General features: G+C 40.5%; 1 protein-coding gene and 1 non-coding gene across 17 annotated transcripts in view; both read left to right on the plus strand.

Moving 5' to 3' along the window:
* The window catches only part of PCED1B (PC-esterase domain containing 1B), a 157,040-nt gene that overhangs the window by 100,300 nt on the left and 36,720 nt on the right, over positions 1 to 20,020 (plus strand). The gene's annotated exons all lie outside the window — the stretch shown is intronic.
* Positions 7,892 to 7,971, plus strand: MIR4698 (microRNA 4698). The gene has a single exon (NR_039847.1). It is a non-coding gene; the product is annotated as a microRNA 4698 (primary transcript).

Here is a 20,020-nt window from a genome sequence, read left to right on the forward strand (position 1 = left end):
CTAGCAGTTAATTTTTTTCTTCAACTTTTATTTTAAGTTCCAGGGTACATGTGCAGGATGTGCAGGTTTGTTACATATGCAAACATGTACCATGGTGGTTTGCTACACAGATCAACCCATCACCCAGGTATTAAGCCCAGCATTCATTAGCTGTTCTTCCTGATCTTCTCTCTCCTCACACCCCCCAACAGGCCCCAGTGTGTGGTGTTCCTCACTATGTGTCTATGTGTTCTCATCGTTCACCTCCCACTTGTAAGTGAGAACATGCAGTGTTTGGTTTTCTGTTCCCGTGTTAGTTTGCTGAGGATAATGGCTTCCAGCTCCATCCATGCCCTTGCAAAGGACATGATCTCATTCCTTTTTATGACTGCATAGTATTCCATGGTGTATATGCCTGCACACCTACAACCATCTGATCTTTGGCAAACCTGACAAAAACAAGCAATGGAGAAAGGATTCCCTATTTACTAAATAGTGCTGGGAGAGCTGGCTAGCCATGTGCAGAAAATTGAAACTAGACTCCTTCCTTACACCTTATACAAAAATTAACTCAAGATGGATTAAAGACTTCAATATAAAACCCAAAACTATAAAAACCATTTGGGACATAGGCATGGGCAAAGATTTCATGACAAAAATGCCAAAAGCAAGAGCAACAAAAACAAAAATAGACAAATGGAATCTAGTTAAATAAAGAGCTTCTGCACCGCAAAAGAAACCATCATTAGAGTGAACAGACAACCTATAGAATGGGAGAACATTTTTGCAATCTACCCATCTGACAAATGTCTAATATCCAGAGTCTACAAGGAACTTAAACAAATTTATGAGAAAAAAAAATTAAAACGTGGGCAAAGGACATGAACAGACACTTCTCAGAAGAAGACATTCATGCAGCCAACAAACATCTGGGGAAAAAAGCAGTTGATTTTTTATTAACCACTGAGGTCAACTGGTTTTTTATTCTATACTTTCATGAGAAAGTATACATATACATACATACATATATGTATGTAGTGGTTCCAGGGAGTTAGGTTCTGGTTAGTGAAGGTATTTTCAACTGTATTCTCTTTTTCTTTCTTTTTTTTTTTTTGAGACAAAGTCTCACTCTGTAAGTGCAGTGGCACAATCATGGCTCACTACAGCCTCAACCTCCCGGACTCAGGTGATCCCCCACCTCAGCCTCCTGGGTAGCTGGGACTACAGGTGCTTGCTGCCACGCCTGGCTCATTATTTGTATTTTTTGTAGAGATGGGGTTTCACCATATTGCCCAGGCTGGTCTTGAACTCCTGGCCTCAAGCAATCCTCCCACCTCAGTCTCTCAAAATGCTGGCACTATACACATTAGCCACTGCGCTTGGCCTTAACAGTATTTTCTTGATACATATTTCAGTGCATTATTTTCTAATATATATTAGAAAGAATATTAGAATGAGATAGATTCTTTCATTATTTTTTTTTTTTTGAGATGGATTTTCACTCTTGTTGCCCAGGCTGGAGTGCAATGGTGCAATCTTAGCTCACTGCAACCTCCCAGGTTCAAGTGATTCTCCTGCCTCAGCCTCCCGACTAGCTGGGATTACAAGTGTGCACCACCATGCCTGGCTAATTTTCTTTTTATTTTTAGTAGAGACAGAGTTTCACCATGTTGGCCAGGCAGGTCTTGAACTCCCAACCTCAGGTGATCTGCCTGCCTTGGCCTCCCAAAGTGCTGGGATTACAGGCATGAGTGACCCCACCTGGCCGAGATAGATTCTTTCTAATATATATTAGAAAGAATACTGGCTTTCTAAATTATTTTAAATTCAGAACATTTTTCTTCTCAGTCTAATTTATCTCCTCTACTGAAAAAAAAAAAGTAAAACAATTCAACTTTTTGTCAGTACTAAACAGAGGACAACACATCATTACCAACCATCACAACCTTCTGTGATTCCAATCCTGTCAAAAGAAACATCCTGTAATTTCCTCCTTCAAAATCAGAACTAAACCCAACAAGATCAGTGCAGAAGTGCATTCTAATAATAGTCCACTCCTATTACTAATGGAAAGGCTGAAGGCTTCACAAACCTTTTCAAAGAGCACTTTGATGTAATTTTGAAGTCACAAACAGTTCTGTTTCTCTAAGCAGGCATTTTTCAGAGGACTGCGTCCAGTTAGAAATCCTAAAACTGAAGAGCACCAGTGAAACTTGAAGATGGTTCAGAAAAGAACAGCTGAAATGACTGAAAGCCTGGGAGATCCTTCTAGTGAGGGGGTGCTAGAGGAACCAAATGTATTTACCTGATTTGGTTAGATAAGAAAGAGAGAGGACCTAGAAGAATTCACTGTGAGTCACTGTAAGCAATAGACCTACAGTATTGAGAGAGCTAGAGTGATAAGAATACTACTGCCCTGGCACGGTTGCTCAGCCTGTAATCCCAGCACGTTGGGAGGCTGAGGCAGGCGGATCACAAGGTCAGGCCTTTGAGACCAGCCAAACAACATGGTGAAACACCATGTCTACTAAAAATACAAAAATTAGCTGGGCGTGGTGGCACGTGCCTGTAATCCTAGCTACTCAGGAGGCTGAGGCATGAGAATCACTTGAATCTGGGAGGTGGAGATTGCAGTGAGCCGAGATCACGCCACTGCACTCCAACCTGGGTGACAGAGCGAGACTCCATCTCAAAAAAAAAAAGAAAAAAAAAGAATACTACTATGTTGAGTGCTTTATACCTATTATCTTTTTAACAGCCTTCCAGTAACTCAGGAGGCAGATTATTAGTGCTATTACTCCCATTGCACAGTTGACGAAAACTGTGGCTTAAGTAATTTGCACAAGACCACATAGCTAGTAACAGTTGAGCTGCAACTTGAACTCAGGCTGACTCCAGAACCCTAGCTCTCACTCGCCACACCATACTGCCTTAAGAGCAGAAACATCCAACTGCCCATAAGGATACGCAAAAATGAGGACATATAAACAAACAATATTTTGAAACTCATCACCCCAGAGATTATAAATGCAAATGGAGTGTCTTACTGGGATAGACAGAGTTTAGTTCCACCCAACAGCTAAAAGCTAAATTAGAATGGCTTCAGGGGTCTCTCTTTTTTTTTTTGGCAATGATTCAAAGGATGATTTTTATTCTTTATACCATTTGGAAAACAGGTGACATAAAGAGGATTAACATCCTAATCAAATAACATATCTGATATCTTGGGAGTGTTAGCTACCCAATTAGGGAATGAACTTTTGCCAATTAGGGAAAAATAGAGTGCTACAATTCAGGTACTCACAAATTATAATAGGTAAACATTTATATCATAGTGATTATATATAGGTAAAGAGGTGGGCAGAATGTACATAGAAAACTTCTGAACTGTCTATCTCTTGCTGTCTAGGGATGGAATTTCTAAATATATTTTGCTCTAGTGCCTGATAGAAAATTACCTCAAGGAAGTAGAGACCTTTTGAGAAATCTAAGATAGCAATGTGCTAGTGTTTCCTAACATGTGCTCTGTGGGACACTTAAATAGGCAATGTATCTCAAAATATGCATGTTCAAAATAGAGTCCCACATATCAACATCATATTAAAGGCTCAGAGAAGTTTAACAATAAAGAAATCGATTTAACTTGGGTTAACCAGCACTTCCCAAATATACTAGCTACAGAACCATTTCTTTTTTTTTTAACACCTATATATCACCCATTGAACGGGTATTTTACTGAACACAGTACAGTAGACTGTTTAAAACTCACATCCTGGTAACTTTCACTACTTGAAATTACAAAGTGCTTTTGTTAATTGCATATTTTTGCTCAGCCATCTTAGAATTGTGTGCCACGTGAGGACAGGGACTCATCTGTATACAGACTTCCTGCACTCGTAAACTTTTTTTTATGTTTTAATAGACTTTGATTCCTTCAGTGTTCTGATAACTACAGAATCTCTGATCATGACTCCAAGGAAGACAAGGGCCCCCGCACCAGTTGGTGCTATGCTAGGCAGTGGGGATACTGCATGAACAGAACAGATATGGTTCCTGCTGAGGCAGAGCTGACATTTTATTGAGGAAAATAGACCATTAGGTACTTAAACCAGCAATAGAGAGAATATTTTTCTTTTTCTTCTTTTCTTTTTCTTTTTTGTAGAGAAAGGGTCTCCCTATGTTGCCTAGGCTGGTCTTGAACTCCTGGGCTAAAGCGATTCTCCCACCTTGGCCCTCCCAAAGTGCTGGGATTGCACCGCACCAGGCCAAGAATATTTTCCATTGTAAATGTATAAATTAGTAAATGAAGTTTACCTCAATCCCATGTGTGTTTTAGTTGGTGTGAGCTGTACCTTGCATGCTTACCCTCTGGCTACTTGCAAGAGGCAGGCTGGAGACAGTGGTGTGCTGGTAAACGACCAGCTGGGGAAGGGGAGGTGGTTTGATTTATAGCATTTGCAGATTTCCATGATGCAAATACTCCCGCCACATTGGATTTCAAACCATCCAGGTGATGCCAAGTAGCTTCCTGGAAATTTAACCATCTGCTCTCGGTAACTGCTGCCAGCAGCTCCAGCACACACCACTGGTTCTAGCCCTTCAAAGCAAGTTTAGCTAGCATTCTTCTCATCACAGACTTTTGAGTTTCACAAGCTAAGTAAAAGAATTTTTAAAAATTAGAGAAAGACTTTCTGAAATCTTTTTTCTTCCCTTCCTTCCTTCCTTTTTCCCTTCCCTTTTTCCTTCCTTCTTTTACCAAAGACACTAAAAAAAAAAAAAAATTACAATCTACAAATACCGTCATTTCATAAAAGAAAGGATATTTTAATTTTTTAAAAGTGGGAATAACATAATTTCAGAACAAAGATTAGTCCTTTAAATTTAATGAATCCAGATCTATGAAAATTTTATTACCTTACTTATTTTTCTAATTTTATTATGAACTAGGGAAAGTTTTGTGTATGCATTGGAATGTTTTTGGCTACAGGTGAAAGAAACCTGGCAGAGGTTAAGTAACCTGGAGTTATTTTTCTTACCTAGCAAGAGGTCTAGAGGTGAGTGGTTGCTGGCAGTAGTTCAACTGTGTAGTAATGCTGTCAGACTCCTTCTTTTTCCCTAGCTTTCCTTTCCACCAGCTTTAGCTTGTAAACTTGTTTCCTCATGTTTGTAGCCTCATAGTCACAAGATGTTGCTGCATCTCCAGGTAGATGAAAGGCAGGAGCAAAAGGCCTTTATATGGATTGAACTGTGTCCCCAAAAAAGATATGTTGATATCCTAACCCAGATACCTGCAAATGTGGCCTTATTTGGAATGCAAATGTAATTAGTTAAGATGAGGTCATATTGAACCAGGGTGGGCCCTAATCCAATAACTGATGTCCTTACAAAAAGAAAAAACAGAGACAGACACAAGAAGAGAACGCTATGTGAAGGCAGAGACACACACAGAGGGAAGACAGCCCTGTGAAGAAGGAGGCAGAAGTTGAAGTATTGAAGCTGCAAGCCGAGGAATGCCAAGTATTGCTGGTGTAGGAGAGGAAAATAATTACCTTTTCTGTACCCATCCTAGGTTCTCCAGCTAGGGAAAATTAGACTGCATATTAGAGTGGCCCGGCACGGTGGCTCACACCTGTAATCCCAGCACTTTGGAAGGCTGACGGGGGTGGATCACTTAAGGCCAGCAGTTCGAGACCAGCCTGGCCAACATGTTGAAACCCCATCTCTACTGAAAATACAAAGATTAGCTGGGCTTGGTGGCAGGCACCTGTAATCCCAACTATGCAGGAGGCTGAGGCAGCAGAACTGCTTGAACCTGGGAGGTGGAGGTTGCAGTGAGCTGAAATCGTGGTACTACTACTCCAGCTTGGGCAACAGCAGAGCTAGACTCAGTCTCAAAAAAAAAAAAAGACTGTATATTAGACTGACAAAAGACAGATTAACAAGAGAAAAACAAACAAGTTTATTGAAATATGCATTGCACATACACATAGGAGTATTCAGTAATAAGTAATTCAAAGGAGTGGTTAGAACTTGAACTTAGTCTGGTGCAGTGGCTCACACCTGTAATCCCAGCACTTTGGGAGGCCAAGGTGGGCGGATCACGAGGTCAAGAGTTTGAGACCAGCCTGACCAACATGGTGAAACCCCATCTCTACTAAAAATAACAAAATTAGCCAGATGTGGTGGCACGCCCCTGTAATCCCAGCTACTCAGGAGACTGAGGCAGGAGAACTGCTTGAACCCAGGGGGCAGGGGTTGCAGTGAGCCAAGATCGCGCCCCTGCACTCCAGCCTGGGTGACAGAGTGAGACTCCGTCTAAAAAAAAAGAAAAAAAAAAAGAACTTGAACTTACATAGAATTGAGCAAAGAACAATAATTTTGTAGAGAAGTGGCAAGACAAAGGAAAATGACTTTGAGCTTCTAGGGGCAGCAAATTGTGGGAAGGCAAATATATGGGGAAACTTATGGTAGATGAGGGCTAGTTAATACGTTTTGTTTTTGTAGATTCCTCTGGATGACATCTTGTCTCCAGTGATAAGGTGTTGTCCCTTTATGTTATCCCTTTACTGGTAGGGGGGTAGAGGGGGGCACTTTCACAAGGGGAGCTTATGTTCTGTTTTCAGGCAGATAGGAGGCGGACAGAGATCTCATCCTGGGTCTGCTTTTTCTCAGTTGCCTTCAAGTCAAAATAATCCATATGCCAGAGTGGCATATTGTGGGGTGGCATAATCCAAACCCCTTCATTGGCAAGCATCAGAAGCCAGGAAGAGACAAGAAAAGGTTTTTTCCCCTACAGCTTTCAGAAGGAGCATGGCCCTGCTGACACCTTATTTCAGTCTGAGGGCCTTCAGAATTGTGAGATACTACATTTCTGTTGTAATCTACCCAGTTTGTGATACTTCGTGATGGCAGCCCAAGGAAATTAACACAGCACAAAATCTTGTCTTTACTTAGGATATCTCCAGCTGATTTCTTTTTATATCCTATTGGCCAGAACAAGGTCAAATGCCCAAACCAAGAACAACCAATTGATAAAGGGAAGGAGATTTCCATGACTGGTTAGGCCTATCCTGGAGTCGGGGACCACTCTCCTTGGAAGCAAAGATCTCTCCTTACCACCTGAACACACTGAAAGAAGGGAAAATGGCTCTTGGGGAGGTAGTGGGTAGTGCCTATCACACTTGAAGGTGGACCACTGTGCTGCTCTGTGGACTTTAGAAATGCTGCCCTACTTAACAGTGTTTGAGATTCATCTCAAAACAGATCTTTACCTTCTCCAGAAGCACTCAGGAGTTTAGGTGAAAGATCCAGGTGGATAGCTCCAGGGTAAGAAGTTAGAAATGCTGACACTATGTGAGAGATAGTGTTCATAGGGAGAGACCATGGGATCTTACCTAAAACCAAGAAATGGGTGGTAAATGTAGTGAAAAGGAAGCACCAGGAAATTGGAAATCTCAGGGAGGAGAAAAGGCAGGTGAAATGATCTGGTACTGATGAAAATCCCCCATCTCTACATCAAGGGGATTATTAACTCAGTTTCAAAAATAGAGAACAAGAGAGAAAAAGAGAAACAGGGATGCTGTTTTAACTATAGGCAGCAGTATATAGTAAGACATATTTTTAATCTTTTATCAGTGAAAGTGTAAACAGTTAAATCCAGCACTAAATAATAAATGTGTCAATATTTTAAAATATATTTTTTCATAGCTAAAATTAGAACTAAACATGCTAATGAACTCAGCACCAAGGGCTGGAGGTGATGGAGAGAACATTTCATCTCCCAGGCAACTCCCAACTCTGCAAGTTCTAGAATTCCTAAACATTAAATTTTCTTCATTGAAGACATATTTGGGAACTATAGCTTCATCATAAGGCAGCCAAGTCTTGTGATATATGGGTTAAAGGAAAGTTATGCTTCTCCTGGGGTCTTCCTCTACATTTCCACCTAGACGGGCCTGGGTCAAAATGTAGAGGAAGACCCCAGAAGGAGCAAAACTTTCACCTGCGCCTCTTCCACCTGGGTCTGTCCTTTATCCTACCAGCTCCAAGAACAGGATTGTAATTGGTCACCTGATCTACCTGCATCTTCCTGACTGCAACAAGTTCTTTGCCCTATAGCTGCTTTATTTCCACAGTTTGTCTTACCTGGAAGCACCTCTTCCTTCTTGGAGTCCCTTCTGTTCCCCAGACATACCTCTGTCATGGCACCATAGCATTTTGTGGCTTTTAAAAATTACATGTCTTATCTCCCCTTACTAAGGACTTTGGGGACAGTGATCTTGCCTTAGTTGTCTTTGGGTTCCCAGCATCTAACACCATTGGGGTCTCTTAAATGTTGGATGAATAAATAAATTATTAAAGGCTAATCTCAGGGGGGAATAGAATATGTCATAAATTCCTCAGCTGGAACTCATAGGGATCAATGATGTCCCACACAAAAGCCCTATAGGGACAAGAATTCAGGAAGGGTGTTAGCTGCAAATCTTCCTGGCCTATGGAGAAGCATGGAATATACTGTGAGCCATATATGTCCCTGAAGCTAATCTAATCTATCTCAATGAAATTATATGCTTAGGTATTGTCATCTCAGTTTCTAATGTGTAACTTTTGCTTTCCTTGGAAATTGAAAGGATTTGAGCCATTTCTTAGGTAGTTTCAGGACGATACTGCTTCTCAGAGTTAAGGACTTCCTTTTTTCAATGTGTACCTGAACATCCAGAAGTTAAAAACAAGAGTAGCAGAGTCTTGCAGATGCAAACATAGTACAGAAGTTCTCATCCATCGCCCAAATTGAAACGTGCAATGTAAGCTGTAGCCATCCAGTTCCACTGCAGTGCTGGAGCAGAGGAGCAAGGGAGTTGGGATGAATGTGAAGAACTCAGAGGACCATTGGGAGCATATTCATTTCACTCATTCTCCGTAAAAAACAGGCATGTTGCTGGTAACCTGGACTTTTTCCAACCCTGGCTACACAGTTGCTGGATTTAGGTGCCAGACTCCTGTTGCTTCTTATTGCAAAATGCCCCCACATGGCATTTTGCCCCATTTTCATTTCTGCTTCTGATTAGGTCACTGTGAACTTTCTCTCCATGTTTACTCAAAGTACCAGAAATATGTAGGGACAGCCTCCACTTATCTCGAGATTTCCTGCTGTTCATGATTCAGCTCACTTTGCTGTTCTTTTTCATTTCCTCTATCTTACATTTTGATTGTTTTTTATCTTCTTTTTCTTCAGCTTTATTGCTTGTTTCATTGGTTCTTAGCCCAGTGTCTGAAAGTGACCCTGAGAAGTTGTCTAAGCAGAAAAGCATGCATTGTGTTTTTAGATTGTTCAAGACAGGGCCGCCATTACCCCATTGGATGCCTTTGTGCAAAGTGGAAAAATGTGTCCTTTTCTCTGAGGAGATGCAGCCCTACACTAGGGTGCATGGCTTGGTTAGCAGAAGGCAGACTGATTTCAAAATCCAGTCTATTGTGCATTCTTGTGCCGTGAATGGAGAGGTGCAGCCCTGTTTAGAGAAGAGCCTGTAATCTTGCTTAAATAAGTCACTACAGCAACTATTATCTCACAGTGAAAATGTTCCTCTTTAAAGGCCGCTAAATAAATGAATGACCTTGGACATACATTTATTTCCTCACTTTTCAGTAGTTTACAAGATCCCTGAACACCATTCAAGGCTTATATTAGTGGCTTTCTGCTACCGCTAACATCAAATCCAAAACACCATGGACTTACTTGCAAGGTCTTATTTGCACTTTCAGCATAGCACCATGGACTTATTAGCACACTTTAGTGTTATATTACCATCTCACACTTGTCTTCATTTCAGCAAACAATTAATAAACATGGACTAGGAGCCAAACTCTTGAAGCACAACTTTCGTTTATCACCAGCTTCGCATTTTCACCTCATCTAACCCTACTAACAAAATGCATATCCTTGAAACTTCCAAACAGAAGACTCTGGGGATGTTTGGCAAAACCTCAGCATAACTTCTGCTGCTCCAGGCTTGGGATCCACAGAAGAGCTGCCTCTTGGGTCAGCTCTTCCAGCCCTGCTCGGCTCCTCCCTTGGCCACTCCCAGTCCCACAGACCCTCCTCTATGCACTGTGCTCAGACACCTGCTTGAAGTGCAGAAACTACTTCAGTATCACTTGAGGGAATCTCTAGGTATAAATTCTACACAGAAGAAAAATGTTAATACTCTATTTGCATAGTGTTTTGTTATTTAGGAAATGCTTTCACATGCATTAGTTCGTGTAATCCTGAGTTGGAATAATCAGCCAAAAAGCAAAAATGCATACAATTCAGTTGTCTCTCAGTCTATCCCACCCCGTTCTTCCCATGGTGCTGGTTGGTTCATAAATGGGAGCAAGTGAAAGCCTGCCCCATTGTGGCCCCAGTTCTGGGCTTCAGTTTCCAAAATAGATACAGACCTCACCCAAGTTCCATCTGTTCTAACCCACTTCCTCCTTGTCCTGGTCTCCAACCTTTGGCACCCATGCATTCACTTTGGTCGCCTCTTCCAGGTCTTTCTTCCTCCAGCTCCCTGCAGGTTAAGGATGAAGTGGTTTCTCTCAATTCCCTTTGTACGAGAAACACAGGGTTCTTTATGCCTACACCAGTTTCAGTGGGAAACCCTCTTTATAGCAGCTATGCAAATCCTGCATCTGGGATACCTGTGACTCATTTACACAGAATCTTGATCCTTTCAAACAACAATAGTAACACTAACTCATGCTTACTGGTTTCTGCGTGGCAGGCATGGCACTCTGTGCTCTCTGCATGTTATCTCATACTGTTGCAGATTTAGGTTGAGTACCTGATGCCAGTAAGCCAAACACTGACACATCAGTGCTTAGGAGCACAGAAAGGTTATTCAAATTGGCTACAGCATGAGGGTGCGAGAGGCACCTCTCAAACCCCACCTGTCTTTGAACATAACTGGGGGGCTTTTACGAGTAAGGTAGATATGTGGGAGGTGAGATTCTCTGATGATGAAAGCTGCTTGTGTCCCTCAGCCAATCGAACTTCTGGATGCCATCAAGGAGGTCTCCATGACCTAAGGATCATTGTTCTTTAAAAGAAAAACCAGTTCATTAATCTTGCAGACAGCCCCTGGGGGTCAGGATATGAAGTTAATCACTTATTAATGACTACCCTCTAACGAAATGACTATGTGCAAGCAAACATGCATGGAGGAAGACAAGGACAAAGAAAGAGGAAGAAGTAAAATGAACATCTTACGATTTTTATAATATAGGCTTGGTGACATCACCTTCCCAACAGACACACAGGGCTACTATGAGTATGCCCATTTACAAATGAGGTTGAATTGAAGCAGTTTTTACAAAGGGACACCACTGACCCTAAAGCCCTGAGCTGTCTGTTTCCAGACTTTTTTCACTCCTTTATCTTCTGCCAGCTTTACGACTCCATACATTTAATTCCTCAGAGACCACTATTTTTGTTTAAAATCTCTAAGTTTCTTCCTAATTCTATACCCCAGTGTCAGCATTCAGCAGTTCTATAAGATCTCAAAAGATTATTTCTCCCAAATCCTCACCTTGACCCTCCCCAGGCAAACGTTCACATGTTCACAACCCAATGCATTCACTTTACTCTCATCCTAGGCAAATTGGGGGAAGTCATGTTTCCATTGCAATCCGGAAGAAGAAATACCGCAGGCCTGCCTCTCTCCACCCAGGACTTGGGCATAGTCATCATCCAGCCTTTGCCCTAAAGCAGAGGTTTTCAGCCCAGGTTGCAAAATAGATTGCCCTGGGAACCTTCATAAAGCTGGACACCTGGGCTGCTCACCCTGAGGAATTGAGGCAGAATCGCTGAGGGTGCGGCCTGGACACAAAAGTTTTGGGGTTTTTTTGGTTTTTTTGTTTTGTTGTGTTGTGCTTTTTTTTTTAAGGACCTGGTGATTCTGATGAGAACCACTTGCCTGCCTTTCTCTTTGCCAATCTGAGTCCATTACCATTTTCTTGAGCTAACTCAGACATCATTTTCTTTAGATACTCTATAGGAGCACCTAACATGGCGCTTGCCACAGAAATGATTGACTGTTTTCTCTCTGTACATCCTCATTAACTCCAACTCAATAGAACACCAATTTAATTTGCCTCCTTTGTATAAATGTATTCAATCCACCCCGTATCACTGTAGAATATCTATACATTGTTCTAGAATTACTGTTTTCTTATTTTATGTGGATCTGGCTTGCTTTAACTATTTCAAAAATGGAGGCTACGCTTTTTTTTTTTGTTTTTTTTTTTTTGCCTCTTTCCATAGTGCCAGCAAAGAGCTTCTAAATCACGACAAACAGTAAATGCATGTTGATTATAAGTAAAACCTATTTTTGCTTTCACTTTCCTTTGATATGAAAGTCAATTAAATAGGCTGCAGAGAACAGGGAGTTTAGAAGGCTGAAATAAGAAAAATATGTAGCCTGGAAAAAAAATGGAGATGACCAGTAAGCAAAGTGAAATTGTATATACTGCAGACTGATCGGCTCTATCCAAATGGGTGCTCCTTTTGGATATGAGCTCATTCAAATGGTAAATGATTTCATTCAAAACTTTCCTTTGGGAAAAGTCACTTGGAGAGTCCACTTTACATAAAAGAATCCAATTTAATCTTCAGTGGAAAAAGTGGAATTGGACGAGGGCAGAGCTCTCCTTTCATTTTAGAGAATAAAAGTGGCAGCCTGGATCCTGGTCCAGTCTCTGGTACTAACTAGCTGTGACTTTGATACATCATTGAGTCCATCAGAGCTGACTGACTCCCAGGGCTCTCCATAGCAATAATGGTAATAAAAATAGCAAACATTCATGGAGTTCTTGCTGTGTAACAGGCACTGTGCTGAGGATTTTTCATGCATTATTTCATTTAACCATCATTCCTTGAGACAAGTACTATCATTAACCCCAACTGAGGAAACTAAGGCTCGGAGAGATTAATTTGTCTAAGATCACAAAGAAAATGTATTTTGGTGAAACTATTCATTCAAGCCTAGCTCCAATGTCCATTCTTCTTTCCTCACGTCTACATGAGACCTTCCTTATCCCCATATTTGCAAGCAGAGTACATTATTCTGGGCTTACTGAATGCTTTATGCACACAGATATTTTAGCGCTTCTCCCATTGTATTTTGCTAATTGTTTTTGCATGTCTCTCCTAGCTGACTGCAAAAAATGAATTCAAGAGCTGTATTCTATTTGTCTTATTACTCTCATCACTTACTGTAGGGCTTAACAATTAATAGACTCTCATATGTACCAAAATATGAACTCTCAAATTTGTTGTATCCTCAGAGAGGTTGAGTAACTGACTCAGGTTCACACAGGAAGTACAAAGTGAGACCGGATTTTGCATTCCGGCATCTGACCGTCCCCACTTCCTATGAGCATCACTGTCCACTCAGAGTTGTTCAAGCCAATGCAGAAACCAGGGAACCATTCTTTATAATAATTCCCTGCTCACAATTCCTGAATTCCTGCCCCCTTCCCCCTTTCCACTCCAGTCATTGTTTCAGCCCATCACCTTCTCCCCAACCCTCAATCACCATGGTAATTCAGATTACTGCCTTCACTCGCCTGGATTACAATAGTTAGGGTGTAGGATTTTGGCTGACCCCCAAAACAAAAGATTAAAAATTATGGATGACTTTTATAAACTACAAGCAAGTCTTACAATTTCCCTCAGAGACAAAGATATACTTCTGCCCACTCAGCCCTGAGTAGCTTCAATCATGGTTCTCTAGTAAGTTAGAATTATATTTTCTCCCCGTGACATAAATTTCAGTATAAGGATCAGCAACATTGCTCCAGTCCTATAAATCATATGAGGCAACCAAATAGTCTCCAAGATTCTAGCTCATTTGCTGTTCATCTGTTTTAAGATTGCATTTCACCAGTTTATTTCAGGGTGTCTGCCATTTTGGCCCCAGTTTTGATAACTGCAGATTGTTGTTATTTTAAAGCCATTTCATTGCTCAGTCTTGCTGGGGCTGGGGCCCTGCCTTGCTCTTGCCCTCACTAAGCTGCATTCTGGTTTCCTGCCTACCTCCCTTGGCTTTGAATAAATACCACATGCTCTTGCTGTGCTTTTGCTGTGCTCTGCCACCTGCAGGGCCCTTGGTCATACTGTGTTGAGACCTCCTTGCAGGAGTGGCCGCTTGCCCTTTGCAGCCAGCATTTTTCAGATAACTTCCCTCCATGCTCCTGAAACACATCTGTCTCCCCACTGCCTGCCTCCTCTCAGGAATAGGTCTTTTTTTATTTTGAGATGGAGTCTCACTCTGTCGCCCAGGCTGGAGTGCAGTGGCACGATCTCAGCTCACTGCAACCTCCACCTGCTGGGTTCAAGTGATTCTCCTGCCTCAGCCTCCTGAATAGCTGGGATTACAGGCGCGCAGCACCACGCCCAGCTAATTTTTGTATTTTTAATAGAGATGGGCTTTCACCATGTTGGTCAGGCTGGTCTCGAACTCCTGACCTCGTGATCCACCTGCCTAGGCCTTCCAAAGTGCTGGGATTACAGGCGTGAGCCACCGCACCTTGCTGGGATGGGTCTCTTTACAGGTACTGGAACTAATTTAGAACCACAAATGTCCCTTTGATAGCTACTTATTGCAAACACAAGAGAAATTTCCTTAGTGTAAAGAAAATCAATCATTTTTGGCAAACTACTTAGACTTTCAACAGTGAAGCTTCTTAGAATATTGAGGTCTCCTGCTCTTCTGGGAACTGTGGGACAAAGTACTCCAGTTAATATCCTCAGATGACCTGCCAACAAGAAAGGTCATACCGGTCGGAGTTCCATGTGCTATTTAAAGAACAGACCTTAGATGGCAGAAGCAGCAATATGTGGCCAGGGTTTTAATGAGGAAGAGAAAGGTGCCGTGTGGCTAAATTCGAGAGTAAATGGCATTGTTGTGTTCAGAAACAGCACTGGCCACTTATCCTGTTTCATAATTCCTCTTCTTTAAAGTTATTATCTTCATTTTGAGTATTGTGAATTATTTATTAGTATTATATATTTAACTTGTTAAATGAAGAAATGTGTTCTTGTATGAGAGGGGGGAAGAAAAGCCTGTTTTAGTCTTTTGGAATTCATCTTTAGAAATATTTCTAAAAGTAGGCCGGGCGCGGTGGCTCACGCCTATAATCCCAGCATTTGGGAGGCGGAGGCGGGTGGATCATGAGGTCAGGAGTTCGAGACCAGCCTGACCAACAAGGCGAAATTCCGTCTCTTCTAAAAATACAAAAATCAGCCGAGCATGGTGGTACACACCTGTAGTCCCAGCTACTCGGGAAGCTGAGACAGGAGAATCACTTAAACCCAAAAGGCGGAGGTTGCAGTGAGCCGAGATCATGCCACTGCACTCCAGCCTGGGCGATGGAGCGAGTCTCTGTCTCAAAAAAAAAAAAAGAAAAAAAGAAATATTTCTGAAGGTGACAGCTAATGTCTCGAGGGAGAAAATGAGGATCATGAGAAAATGAAACAATTTTTCTCCATATTAATTATGTGTACAATCCAAACCTATCTGATAGCTGGTGACTACAAATTTATTCATTTTCCCTCTACCCACCCTCCTTCCTCTGATTATCTTTCTAAATTCACTTAGAGGCAGCAACTACCCAAAAAAAAACCCCACCATAGTAGAGTAGAGGAGGGATGGGTGTTGTATTAAGGAAGGTATAGCCCCTGTAAGTAACATGCTACAGTAAGGGCCAGAAACAAGAAGGTTGCTCACAGCAGCCCCAGTAGAGTTTAATATCAGATATTGAAGTGAGTCAGGAAGATCTAAGAAAATCATACCTGAGTCTACCAGAGTTGTCTGTTCCCACTTTTTTCATTCTTCATTTCCTCACCCTCTATTCACATTTTATGTATAGTTAAATATTCATTATTCATTTTATTATGCCCATGCAGATAGCAGTCAGAACTTAATGTTATAATATACGGGCTATGGTTATGTTTTATTAACCATTTGCTTTTTTCTTGAACTTAATAATTACATTTTTTAAAAACTGCTTAGTTTTCTGGTCTCTATTACAATTCTTCCCACACCTTCCAATATTCTATTAGCCCAATTTTCCAAAGATTAGTCAAACTAGGTGATGCATTAATTTCAGTTCCAAAATAAATGAATTCTTTTAACTTTGCAAAGACTATTACATATAACACTATGTTACAAAATTTGAATATATTGACATTTTTAAAGTAGAGTGTTTATGTGTGTAACTTTTTAAAAATATGTAACCATAAAAAAGTAGGTAAATAATATCAACTTCAACTTAATAGTGCTTTGCTAGGAGGCAGTAGAACTTAGTAGCTAAGTGTCTGGCATTAGAGCAACTAGCTTCAAATCCTGGCTCTGCCACTTACTAGATGTGCCTACCAGAAACAAGATACTCAACCTATTTGTGCCTCAGTTTTCTGATCCATAAAATGGAGATAATAGTACCTAACTCAAGGATTGTTCAAGCTTAACTTAAGTAATACATATAAATCACTATATGTTGCCTGACATACAGTAAATGCTCAGTAAGTTTTAGGTATTATTTAGCACAGTAGCAAAGGAAGAAACAATTTAAAAACACTGAAAAACTTCATCTAAAGTTTATATATGGGCTGGGCACCGTGGCTCACGCCTGTAATCCCAGCACTTTGGGAGGCCGAGGCAGGCAGATCACCTGAGGCCAGGAGTTCGAGACCAGCCTGGCCAACACGGTAAAACCCCGTCTCTACTAAAATTGCAAAAATTATCTGGGCGTGGTGGCGGGCGCCTGTAATCCCAGCTACTCAGGAGTTTGAGGTAGAATTGCTTGAACCCAGGAGACGGAGGTTGCAGTGAGCCAAGATCGTGCCACTGCACTCCAGCCTGGGCAAAAGAGCAAGACTCCATCTTAAAAATTAAAAAATATATAAAAAATAAACTTTATATATGAAAAAATATGAACATAAAATTAACAGAAAAATAATAAGCTGAAATGAAAACATTTGCAGCATGGATGGCAGGCCAAAGTGTTAATACACTTAATATGTAATAATCCTTAGATAAAATAGAAAAGTAGGCAAAGTACACAAATTGGCAGTTTATTTAAAAAAAAAAACAGATGATAGACCAGCCTGACCAACATGGTGAAACCCCATCTCTACTAAAAATATAAAAATTAGCCAGACATGGTGGCGGGCACCTGTAATCCCAGCTACTCAGGAGGTTGAGGCAGGAGAATCACTTGAACTTGGGAGGCGGAGGTTGCAGTGAGCTGAGGTTGCACCACTGCACTCCAGCCTGGGTGACAGAGTGAGACTCTGTCTCAAAAAAAAAAAAAAAAAAAAAAAGATATAAAAACATATCTGCCCTCGCTTGTAAAAAAAAGTCATTGCATATTAAAATACAATGATAGCCCGGTGCAGTGGCTCACGCCTGTAATCCCAGCACTTTGGGAGGCCGAGGAAGGTGGATCACCTGAGGTCAGGAGTTTGAGACCAGCCTGGCCAACATGGTGAAACCCCATCTCTACTAAAAATACAAAAAATTAGCTGGGCATTGTGCTGGGTGCCTGTAATCCCAGCTACTCGGGAGGCTGAGGCAGGAGAATCGCTTAAACCCAAAAGGCGGAGGTTGTAGTGAGTCCAGATCGCGCCATTGCACTCCAGCCTGGGCAACAAGAGTGAAACTCTGTCTCAAAAAAATAAATAAATAAATAATAAAATAAAATAAAATACAATGATATACAAAAAAAGGGAGAAGACATAAATTACTAATAATCAGAAATGAAAAAGGGGCCATTGTTACTGACTCCATGGACATTAAAAGAATATTAAAGGAATATTAGTCACAACTCTATGCCCACAAATATGATCATTTATATGAAAATAGACCATTTCCTAGAAGGACACAGTCTACTGAAACCCACACAAAGAGAAATAGATAATCTGAATTAGCCAATATATATTAAAGAAATTTAACTGATAATTAATAACCATCTAAAACAGAAAGCACCAGGCCCAGATGGGTTCACTGGCTAATTCTACTGAACATTTAAGGAAGAAGTGATACCAATTCTCTACTGTTTCTTCCAGAAAATAGAAGTGAAGGAAACATTTCTTCACTCATTCTATGAGGCCAGCATTAATCCTATATCAAAACCAGACAAAGACGTTAAAAGAAAGGAAAACTACAGACTCATATCTTTCACAATCATAAATCCAGAAATTCTCAACAAAATATTAACAAATGAAATCTAACAATGTATAAGAAGAATTATGCACCACAACAAAATGCTTTTTTTTCGAGGTATACAGGGTGGTTCAATTGATTTGAAAATCATTAATGTAATTTATCGTATCAATAGGCTAAAGAAGAAAAATGTATATGCTCATATTAACAGGCGCAGAAAAGCACTTGACAAAATCCAGCACTCATTCATAGTTTAGAGAAAAATCTCTCAACAAACTAGGAGTAGAGGGGAACTGGATCTCAACTTCATAAAGGATAACTGCAAAATAACTACACCTAACATCATGCTTAATCTTAGGAAACTAGATTCTTTCTCCCTACGATCAAGAACAAGGCAAGGGTGTCCCCTCCCTCTCACTACTCCTATTCAGCATTGTACTGGAAGCCCTAACTAATGCAGTAAGACCAAAAAAACAAAAAACAAACAAACAAAAAAAAAAGCAAGGTAAACGGATTGAGAAGGAAGAAAGAAATAAAACTTTGTTCACAGATGACGTGATTATGCAGAAAATCCCAAAGAAGGCAGGTGTGGTGGCTCACACCTGTAATCCCAGCACTTTGGGTGGCCAAGGCAGGCGGATCACCTGAGGTCAGGAGTTTGAGACCAGCCCGGCTAACATGGTGAAACCCTGTCTCTACTAAAAATACAAAAAATTAGCCAGACATGGTTGCACATGCCTGTAATCCCAGCTACTTGGGAGACTGAGACAGGATAATCTCTTGAACCCAGGAGGCAGAGGTTGCAGTGAGCTGAGATTGTGCCATTGCACTCCAGCCTGGGCAACAAGAGCTAAACTCCATCTCAAAAAAAAAAAGAAAAAGAAAAAAGAAAAGAAGGAAAATCCCAAAGAATCAACAACAGCAAAAAACCATCCTGGAACTATTATAGTAAGTAATTATAGCAAGGTCACATAACACAAAGTTAGTATACAAATGTAATTGCTTTCCTATATATCAGAAATGAACAACTGGAATTTGAAATAAAAAATAGACCATTCACATTTGCACCAAAAAATTACTTAGGTATAAATCTAAGGACCTATATAAGGAAAACTACAAAACTGTGATGAAAGAAATCAAATGACTAAATAAATGAAGAGGTATTTCATGCTCATGGATAGGAAGACTCAAATTCCTCATGCTACCAGTTATTCCTGATAACTTGATCTATAGATTCAACACAATCCACATTCAAATATCAGCAAGTTATTTTATGAATATTAATAATTTTATTTTAAAGTTTATAAGAAAATGCAAAAGACCCAGAATAGCCAACATAATATTGTAAAAAACAGAAGTGAAAGACTGACACTATCTGGCATCGAGTGTTACTATAAAGCTATAATGATCAAGACAGTGTGGCATTTGTGAAGGAAAAGACAAATAGAAAAATAAACCTATATAAATACAGTCAATTGATCTTTGACAAAGGAGCAAAGGCAATTCAATAGAGAAAGACTAATCTTTTCAACAAATGGTTCTAGAACAACAGGACATCCACATGCAAAATAAGAAAAAAGTTAATCTAACACAGACTTTGCACCTTTCACAAAAATTAACTCAAAGTGGATCATAGACTTAAATGTAAAATATAAAACTGCAAAACTTCTAGAAGATAACAGAAGAAACTCTAGGTGACCTTGTGTTTAGTTGTGAATTTGTAGCTTCAACACCAAAAGCACAATCCATGAAAGAAAAATTGATAAGTGAGACTTCAATAAAACTAAGAACTTCGGCTTGGCAAAAGATACTGTTAAGAAAATAAAAGGGCAAGCCAC

This window comes from Homo sapiens, chromosome 12, assembly GCF_000001405.40.
Source record: "Homo sapiens chromosome 12, GRCh38.p14 Primary Assembly".
NCBI lineage: Eukaryota > Metazoa > Chordata > Mammalia > Primates > Hominidae > Homo > Homo sapiens.